This window comes from Homo sapiens, chromosome 5, assembly GCF_000001405.40.
Source record: "Homo sapiens chromosome 5, GRCh38.p14 Primary Assembly".
NCBI lineage: Eukaryota > Metazoa > Chordata > Mammalia > Primates > Hominidae > Homo > Homo sapiens.
In genome coordinates this window covers 14,028,484-14,038,604 of record NC_000005.10, presented here as the reverse complement: position 1 = coordinate 14,038,604, position 10,121 = coordinate 14,028,484, and the positions used below count along the sequence as shown (strand labels likewise).

The 10,121-nt window shown below is 45.3% G+C and overlaps 2 annotated features.

Annotated features, from left to right (window-relative positions):
* Positions 1,639-2,838: an enhancer, noted in NCBI's record as "P300/CBP strongly-dependent group 1 enhancer chr5:14035876-14037075 (GRCh37/hg19 assembly coordinates)". NCBI's record gives its function as "activates an origin of replication core promoter dependent on BRD2, BRD4, P300/CBP, MED14 and CDK7 cofactors, with strong dependence on P300/CBP, by STARR-seq in HCT116 cells {active_cell/tissue: HCT116}" and the evidence as "EXISTENCE:reporter gene assay evidence [ECO:0000049][PMID:35650434]".
* Positions 3,222-3,749: an enhancer, noted in NCBI's record as "H3K27ac hESC enhancer chr5:14034965-14035492 (GRCh37/hg19 assembly coordinates)". NCBI's record gives its function as "activates a minimal SCP1, AML or CMV promoter by ChIP-STARR-seq in naive H9 embryonic stem cells {active_cell/tissue: H9 hESC(naive)}" and the evidence as "EXISTENCE:reporter gene assay evidence [ECO:0000049][PMID:30033119]".

The following is a 10,121-nucleotide window of genomic DNA, read 5'->3' as shown; positions in this document are numbered from 1 at the left end:
TCTGACTCCCCTGACCCCTGCCTCATGGCCTCTTCATATTTGTTCCACCCCGGCTGTGTGCTTAGACCCTGAGTCATGCTCTCGCCTCCCACTCATCTGAAGATGGTAGCTCAGTGGGGACTCTGTTTACTCTCTGGGGAAAGTAAGCAGCTTCCTTGTGGGTAGGAGCAGGGGTCACAAGCTGAGATGAGGACGTGGGTGAGGGGCAACCCAGACAGCAAATGTCCCTTCCTCACAGGCAGCTGCTGCATCGCGGGGATTAGGTGGACATGGCCAGATCTTCTACTTTCTCAAGAGAAGCTAGAAATCTAATAGGAAAAATGTCTGACTCTTTTTTTGTTGTTTTTCATTTACTTAAAAAAATTGAGCTGAAATTAACATAGGATGAAATTAGTTAACTTTTTTTTTTTTTGAGATGGAGTCTCACTCTGTTGCCCAGGCTGGAATGCACTGGCTGGTCTCAGCTCACTGCAACCTCCGCCTCCTGGGTTCAAGGAATTCTCCTGCCTCGGCCTCCTGAGTATCTGGGATTACAGGTGTCTGCCACCACGCTCGGCTAATTTTTGTATATTTAGTAGAGATGGGGCTTCACTATGTTGGCCAGGCTGGTCTCGAACTCCTGACCTCAAGTGATCTGCCTGCCTCGGCCTCCCAAAGTGCTGGGATTACAGGCATGAGCCACCGAGCCCAGCCTAAAAGTAATCGTTTTAAAGTGAATGATTCACTGGCATCTGGTACACCAACAAGTTTGTACAACTGCCACCACTATCTAGTTCCAAACATTTTCTTCACTGCAAAAGGAAGCCCCATTCCCATTACATCGGCCACTTCCTATTCTCTCTAAACCCCAGGCATGGTAGCTGCCAATTTGCCTGTTTCTATGGATTTACCTGTTCTGGATATTTCATATAAATGGGATCAGGCCATTAAATATTAACAGCTAACAACAACAAAAGACACCATGTGGACTGAGTGAACTGGCCCCCGGACTTTCTGTTTCTGACCTCCTGCTTGGCCTCTCCTATCAGTGATGGGGTTCACAGGGCAGCTGTCTCTGGCTTGTTGGGATGCCGAGAATGCCAGGTTAGGGCCAGGCTGGGGCCAGGCTGGGAAAGTCTGCCCTGGGGAAGTGGTTTTGGTGGCTGTGCTGTGAATCTGATCTTCTCCCTAAGAGGAAATGGGGCTGTGCCCCCAGCCCTGGAAGGGCAGCCCCTTCCTTGTCTGTGAGAGGGCTCTGAGGGGTAAGAAATGATGCTCCCCTTCTTGATGGTCCCTCTAATGTGCTACTAGGTGAGGGAGAACGCTCTGGAAAGGCACCTAAACAAGAGGCAAGTGCAAGGGTGATAGCGCCAGCGCGGGGCCCAGATCTCATGGCTGCAGAAACCCGTGTGCTCAAGGATGCCCCTTTTCTGCCTGGAATTTTGCTCTGCAGAGCAACTTGTCTACAGGTCTGTTGTTTTTCCCCAGGAGAGGTGAGATCACACTCTTCCTTTCAGTTTAAAGCAAGGACAGCATTAGACGTTAGAACTGGAGGCTGTGCTCATTCCCTCTGAGAGAGTTATTCGTTCTTTTTGTAATGGTTCTCGAGCACCTGCTGGGTACCTGGTTGGATAAAAACACATGAACTGCCAGCCTGCAACTGTTAGTACAGCGTGACAAATTAAAAAAAAAATCAGTGTTTCCAAGTGTTAGCAATAAGGAACAACAGGGTCAAAAGTAGGGAAAAAAAGATTTTACCAGGAAAATGGGGAGGGGGAGTCATAAAAAGTTCCATGTCCTTCTTCTCACGCCACTGCACAAGGTCCTGGAATTTGTTCTCTGCACAAAAGCAGGGGTGGAGGTGGTTAGGGGAAGGGCTGGAGGGCAGGGCAGGGGGGTGAGTGGAGATCCAGCCCATTTGCTTACTCACCAGGCCCCCAAACATGGCTGTCAGCAGCTGCTGCCCCAAGTGGGTGCTTTTTCCTAATTCCTTCAACCTGGGGGGCCACCTTTTTCTAATTTGCACAGAAGCGGTGTGAGCTAGGCTCAAGGCTTTGCATATTTCTGCTCTTCAGTTTGTATTTTGGGGTTTAATTTTGCAGTGCCTTTGCTGTTGTTTTCGGAATATAGGTATATATAGAAATGGGATTTATTATCGTTGTAAATAATCCTTCTCCAAGCAGCTTTTTAAAAATATGATTACCTCCCTTCTGGCTGGAATGATCAAGGTGTGGTGCTGCCTAAAGACCAAGCGAAGGATACAGTGACTCACTTAGATTCTTTCCAATGTTTAATTCAATGAATTAGGTTTTCTTTAGAGCCTATGAGTCACTTTCCCTGCTCAGTGACTTGCATGACAGAGCGGTGAGATAACCGGGAAGTTAGGGAGCCAACTGGTAGGTTTAGTGAAGGATTCTAAAGGAATGTAGACCTTTAAAAGACCTGGGGAAAACCCAGGGTCCTGGACAAGAGTCATTTGCGAATGCAGTCCCCAAACAAGGAAAAACATCTTCCAGCAGTCACGTATTTTCACCTTCTCACATTTCACTTTTGTTTAAGAAAAGAGTCTGACATCACCAGCATGATTTGCCATGTCAGAAATACCGCGGGTGCCTTTGCAAACAGCTGCAGCGTTTGTGCTCTGCTAATTCTGCAGTTTGGGGAACTGTTTTGTCCACTGAGGTTAGAGTAATTGCCTCCCACTCCCTACTTAGCTAGTCTGCATTCCCGGCCTACCCTGTGAGAGGGATCTATAGCAAATGCCATTTTCATCTCAGAATCATCAGAAGGTGAACTTGAATAGCGTGATCCCTGTGAGCAAAGCACCTATATATCTGGGTGCTATGAAATGCATGGAAGGATGGTGAAGGAAACAGATGTTATCTTGTTTCCTCTTCAAATTTGGGTTGAACAGTGAAAAAGCTGTTGTGTGTCAAACATGAAAATGGTAAAATGATCAAAAGAATGTCCGTCCTGTCGGCTCAGTCTGCACGGAGAGGACATGTTTCCTTTTTATCAGTGTTTATAACCTGCAAAGGAAAAATGGTTTTATGGGCAACATTTCGAATCGGCCCATGGATAGGCTATTTGTAAGAAATGCAAAATCACTGTAATTGTTTTTGTGTGTGAATTGCCATGTGCAAGAGGGGAGAGTTTGTTTTCTTGTGACTGGTTGTTAGCCTGGCCATTGGCTATGATTTGTCTGGCACCATGAAGAGAAGGAAGCTACAAAATGAACTTGTGGTATATTCTGGTTATCTGTTGCCATGTGTCAAATTACCCCAAAACTGACCGGCTTAAAACAACAGCCATTTTTACTCTTTGTGCTTTTGTGGGTGAGGAGTTTGGGCAGGGCTCAGCTGCTCCATTGTTCTGTTCCATGTAGTGCTGGCTGAGGTGGTGGTGTTGTATTCGGCTGGCAGATGGACTGGTCTGGAGGGTCCAGGACAGCTTCCCTTGTAAGTCTAGCACCTCAGTGGGGATGGCTGCAAGGCAAGGCTCAGCTGGGATTGCTGACTGTGTGCCAACACTTGGTTCTACAGCACCACAAGCACAGGAGTCCCAGGGAGAGAGCTCCAAGACACCCGTGTCAGGCTTCCATAACCTACCCTTACTAGACCCTCAACATTGGGCTTCCATAATCTGCCATTAGCAGGCACTCAAAGCAGCTGTTTGAAACCTTTTCTACTACTTTCCCTCAAACCTTCAGCCCTAGCACCTCCTGGCTAGGACATGTCTTTATTCACACCTTCCTGATAAAACATGGGCCATTAGGCATAAACCAAGTGAAATAGAAGAAAACAAAAACCACATGGGTTCTTGAGCCAAAGGACCCATGTTCAAAAGTCATCATTTATCGTCCTTGAGACCTTGAGCAAATTACCCAACCGCTCTAAGCCTTAGTTGCTGATATGGTCTGGCTGTGTCCCCACCCAAATCTCATCTTGAATTCCCATATGTTGTGGGAGGGACCCGGTGGGAGGTACTTGAATCATGGGGGCAGGTCTCTCCTGTGCTGTTCTCATGATAGTGAATAAGTCTCACGAGACCTGATGGTTTTAAAAACGTAAATTTCCCTGCAATAGTTCTCTTCTCTTGTCTGCCGCCATGTGAGACGTACCTTTCACCTTCCACCATGATTGTGAGGCCTCCCCAGCCACGTGGAACTGTAAGTCCAATAAACTTCTTCCTTTGTAAATCGCCCAGTCTCGGGTATGTCTTTATCGGCAGTGTGAAAACGGGCTAATACAGTTGCCTTATCTGCAAAAATGGGTTAAAATACCCAAATCATTATTGATTGAATGAGATATGTATGACAAACACATTTTACAGGCATTAGTAAGTGTAATTTCAAATATAATTGACTTCATGTACTGTTTCTGCCCAACCTGTCTTAATATGGGCTCTTTACCTGCCATTGCCATTTATTAGAACAAATCTAGAACAAATCGCTAAAACTCTCTCTGAGAACCATAATTACTTTCAGAGCTGAAGAGATGACTAAATAAAATGGCGCCTGTGAAAGCCTATGTTGCTGTCAGGTGCATTATAATGATGAATAACAAATCAACAGCATCAGAATTACAATCGGCTCATAATTGCTTTGTATTCTACACGGTCAGAAGTGATCATCCATTTCTCTGCCTGTTGCTTATTTTCACAATGCTCTCAATGTTGGAGATGCTATGGAATGAGGAACAGAGAAAATAAACTTGTTCAAGGGTGAGAACAGACAACAGACATCAGCAATAATTGATGTAGTCTAAGCATATGTGCATACTTCACTATTATAACAAAATAAAACTCAACCATGTTGATCTGACACATTTAATGATATACATATTTAATGATATCCTTACTTTTACTGCATGGTCATTTGGCATAAAAAGTAAGATTTAATGTAATGTAAATAACTGTAATTAGTATCACTTGGGTGCCACCAAAGCAAATTTGTAATTCATTCTATCTTTTGTTATTTTTTCTAGGATCCATAATTAGTAATGACGTTAACAGTTTTCCCTGATAACACCTACTGTTTAGTTTTTTCGTTCATTAATTTACTTTTCATTCATTCATTCATTCATTCATTCCTTAATTCATCCATCAAATATGTATTGGGTGCCTACTGTATGCCAGGCATGGTTCTAGGTACTGTAGATACAGCTGGTCCTGGGGAGACAGAAAATAAAAGAGTTTATTTCAGTGCACTGTGAACTCTCCCGTGATAGGACACTTTGGGCACTATAAGGGCACAAAAAGGGGCACATAATCTAATTTTGAGGTTACAATGAAAACTCGCTAGAGGAGAAGATGAGCCTTAAAATATGACTAGAATTTAACCAGGACAAGAGGTTGGGTGAGGGGAGGAACAGCAAAAGAGAGCTTGTCACTGGGCATAGAGATCAAGTGGGGTGTGGCTGGGGAGGAGAGGGAGGAATGAGCTGAGGCCAGCTCAGGAAGGGCGTCACTGGCCACATTAAGTGGCATGAATCTAATAATAAAGATATTTAAGGGAGCCAGACTTGGTGACTCACTGCGTGTGGGGGCCTAAGGGAGCAGGGGAGCTAAGGAGGCCATCTACACTTTCGAGTTGTGAAACTTGGTAGAGAGGACTGCATTTTACATTTTATTTCATTTTAATTGATTTACATTTAAATAGCAACATGTAACTGGTAGCTACTATATTGGACAGCACAGATTCTGATCCATATACCAACCATCTAGGACGCATCCTCTTGGATGTCTGATACACCACTCACACTCAACGTGCTCACAACGAATATCTTACCCTCAACACGGCTCTTCCTCCTGTCTCAGAGGAATATGGAGGCTTGGAAGTTGAAGAAACTATTTCAGGATTATGAGTGTGGTCAAGGGAATTAAAACTGCAAGAGGTGGAGTAGAAAAGGGTGGAAAAGAACCCATGGGGTTTAGCAGCCAGAAGGCTGTTGGCAAAGACCTTTTCAGTAGAGTAAAAGGGCAGAAGTCAGATTGGGTTAGGAATTAATGACCGATATGGAAGAAGAGACAATAGTGGTGGCAATGCAAATAAAAACAAATTCAAGGGACACAGGCCAACTGCAGGGCTTGGTCCCAAGATGTGGCATTGAGAGAAAAGTTGAGAAGATTTGGGGGAGGTTTCTCGCTTGGGGGTCCAAAAATGTGTTGATGTGCTCTAGTTGAGTGCAAATAGACAAATGGGCTTCTATGGCACAAATCATCCCTGTGCTGCAGGTGTGGCCGTCTCCCTTTGGTGGGGGTATGAGGAGGGTATAATATAGCTGGTATAAGCTGTAAGCAGACACAGGAAGTAGGGGAGAATCAAGTGGAAAGTGGAGGGGGATGACATGAACTTCACTTTTGCACTTGTTGGATTTTAGGTGTCTGGGGAATATTGATTGGCACTGTCCATCAGGAAGCTGAATATGCTAGTCTGAGTCTTAGGGTAGAAGTAAGGAATGGACGGATGCATTGGGAGTCCTTTGTATTCAGTGGCAGTTCCAGTTTATCTATAAAGGAGGGCTTTGAGGGCAGCAATCTGGCTGGAAGTAGGGAAAAGGGGCTGCATTTACATAGCTCCTTACATGAGATGAAGAAAATGTCAATTGTCTGCACTGTGAATGGAGGGGGCACGGAAGTGGGCTGTCCCAGCTGCTTGGCTACCATCACTGCTGTCTAGAGGTGCTGCTGAAGCTGCAAAGGTGGAGGACCTCTCTCATAGAGAGAGTGGCTCTGTAATTTGTCATACAACATGAGACACTTTGGGGAGAGAAAGCGGGACAACAGGTGTAGACTAGGACTGTCCTGAGGACACTGGCCTGTAAGGTTACGAGACCCAAGGAGTGATGGTGGAGGGATGGGGGGTGGTGAGCAGGCACTGAGCAGAAGCTGCATTCTAGGGTTGAGGGAAATAATGAGGCTGATGAAGGAGACAATATGCGTAGGGTGATGAAGAACGAGAGGAGAGTAATGTTCCGGGGGTCAAGGTTAAAAGGAGTTGAAAGGAGGTGGTCATGAATGTGGCCAAGTCTGTGGTGGTCAGGTAGGAAAAGGAGCAAGACAAGTCCCATAGGTTTGTTCTTTAGGAGTCATATAAGGAATGTGTCCTTCACAGAGTTATGAGAGTGGTGCTGGGATTACAGGGGTAAGGAGAGAGCATGGGGGCAGGAGCAAGAGGCTCAGTGACAGCCTACTAGGTAGGAGTTTGGTGGAAGATCAGGCAAGGAAGAAGGCATTGATTTCAGGCAGGTGTATGGTAGAACACTGCTCTGGGGAAGTGTCAGTAGGTGCTCCTGGGTAACAGGTATTTGGCAGCAGTGATATGGCATTCCCCTTTTGAAGATTCACAACTCCTAATAACCATTATTTATATTAACACATGTTAGAAATGACTGCACATTAATTAATATACATAATGTGGCCAGGCGTGGTGGCTCACACCTGTAATCCCAGCACTTTGGGAGGCCAAGGTAGGTGGATCACGAGGTAAGTAGTTCAAGACCAGCCTGATCAATGTGGTGAAACCCCGTCTTTACTAAAAATACAAAAATTAGCTGGGCGTGGTGGTGGACACCTGTAATCTCAGCTACTTGGGAGGCTGAGAGAGAGCAACACTCTGTCTCAAAAATTAAAAAAAATACATAAACTATATATATATACACACACACACACATAATGTAATGCACATTAACAAATACACAGCATAATAATACTTGTGAACACTTACATAGGGCTTATATTGTGCCAGGCAATGTCTTAAATTCTTTACCCAGAAAAATTAATGAAATCCTTACAATTACCCAATGAGGTAGGTACTCTTATGACTCCCATTTTATCGATGGTGAAACTAAGAGGTTATCACTTGCCTAGGGCTCCCAAGCTGGTGGTGGCGGTGCCAGGATTTGAGTCTCCACCTTCGCGTAAACCTGTTTATTCTATAAGGGGTGGAGGGCTGATTCTTGGTGATGTTCAGGACCTTTAACTAAGAAAGACCAGAGGAGAAAGTGACCCAAATCAGAGCAGAAGGAAGGGATTTGGGGCTGAAGGAAGGGCTGCTGCTGGAGTGGCAGCCCACAGTGTCTCCTTCTCACTGAAGGTGACATCCATGGTGAGGAGAGAGCAGGGTAGGAGTGGAGGTGGGGAGCTGAGACAAGTGGGAAGGTTTGTAACAGCTGCAGAGAGGAATGGAAAGGAAATCATGGAGTGATTAGGAAAATGATTGTCAAGAAGCATTCAGAACCCAGCTGTGAGACGGAAAGCATGAATTTGTGGTGGAATCACTCAGCTCAGTTAAAATTTCTTGCCATCAGCATTTAGGCAGTTACGAAGCAGAATATGTTGTCTTGACCCCAACTTTTTGCTCTATCTATGCTTTGGGGGTGATAGGTATGATTGCCCCGTTAGTTCTTTGGGCCCACTAGACTCCTTCCCCTTCCTTCTGACTAATAAGACTGTGTTCAGCTCTCTGCTCCCATCCCAAAGACTTGAGACAAAAGAGAAATCTGAGCTGTCACGATGTGAATTTCCTACTTAGGACCTCATCTGCAGAGTCCAGGTCAAACCTGGTGATTCTGAAGAACCAGGGGTCCAAAGTGCCATCAGGGAGAAAAAGAGGATGGGGCAGAGGAGAACAAAGAGCCCCACACAGCACCCTAATTGTCCTCTCTATGCCAGGTACCAGAGGGCACGCCATACAATCACCATTCAGGGTCAAGCGCTGTGCCAGTGTTCTTTCCAGGGACATCTAAGGGAGCCCCCAGTCACTGATTTGGAGGCAAGTTGAGCTAAATCATTCTCCCTGCCCCAAATAGAGAAATATCACAGGCTCCAGCATGGGGGAGACAGAACAGACAGAAGGGCCCTCTGTGGCCAGCTGAGGTTCCAGTAGAAGGGTAGAGTAGGAGGTAGCGCCTACAGAGAAATGGAAGCCATTTTAGGGGCAGTAAGAAATTAATGTCAGATCCTTTTGGGGTCCATATTGTTTTAGGCATGCTGCTGATCAGGTCGCAGAGGATGAGTAAGGTTCGTGCAGAGGAAGAGAAATTTCTGCAAATAATAGGGGCTCTGCAACAAGAAAGGGACATCTGAGGACCGATCAGACTGAGACCAGAGCCCTGTGGGGTGCAGAGCAGCACCAGGCGGAACCAGGATGAATCAGGGCAAGGAAAAATCTGGCTGGACCAGAACAGAAACATGATCTTACCCCCACAGGGTTCCTCGTGGAGAAGGCAGAAATTACTAACTCTAAGTCCACTTCCTCCTCCTCTGTGTCATTATCGTTTCGGGTGTCTAATTATGTTTAATCAACCATATTGTAAACTACCTTTAGTTTTCATCCTGTGGTGTGAATTCAGTCATTCTGACCAAACCTATAAGTATTGTTAAGGATAATTTTCTGAATGGGGTGGCTCCCTCCTATCTATCAAATTCAAAGGTTTAATTCCCACAGTGGGAGAAACTGGGTCACCTGTTGCTGCTAGAAAAGGCTACTCATGTTAGATTTATGTCTGTTGGGGGATGTTATTTCCCAGATAGTTTACATTCAAGAACGTGTTTAACTTAACCTTAAGTCACATGGAATGTGTTTCCTCCTCTGTCTTTTACAACTTTACCGATACTTATATTTCAAATATGATACAATATACCCATGTAAAGTGCACAGTCCAAGGATTTTTGAGTATATTCATACAATTGTGCAGCTGTCACCACAATCTAATTTTTCGAAAAAAATTTTTTTTTGGAGACAGGGTTTCACTCCCATCGCCCAGGCGGAAGTGCAATGGCATGATTTCGGCTCACTGCAACTTCTGCCTCCTGGGCTCACGTGATTCTCCTGCCTCAGACTCCCAAGTAGCTGAGATGCGCCACCACATCTGGCTAATTTTCATATTTTTTGTAGAGACAGGGTTTTGCCATGCTGCCCAGGCTGGTCTCAAACTTATGGGCTCAAGTGATCCTCCTGCCTCAGCCTCCCAAAGTGCTGGGATTATAGGCATGAGCCACCGTGCCAGGCCAAATATTACAATATTTTTAGTACGCCAGAAAGGAACCTCTTTTCATTAGCAGTCACTCTCTATCTGCCCCCTCCCTTACCCTAGGAAACCATTAATGTACTTTCTGTTTCTGTGGATTTGTCTACCCTG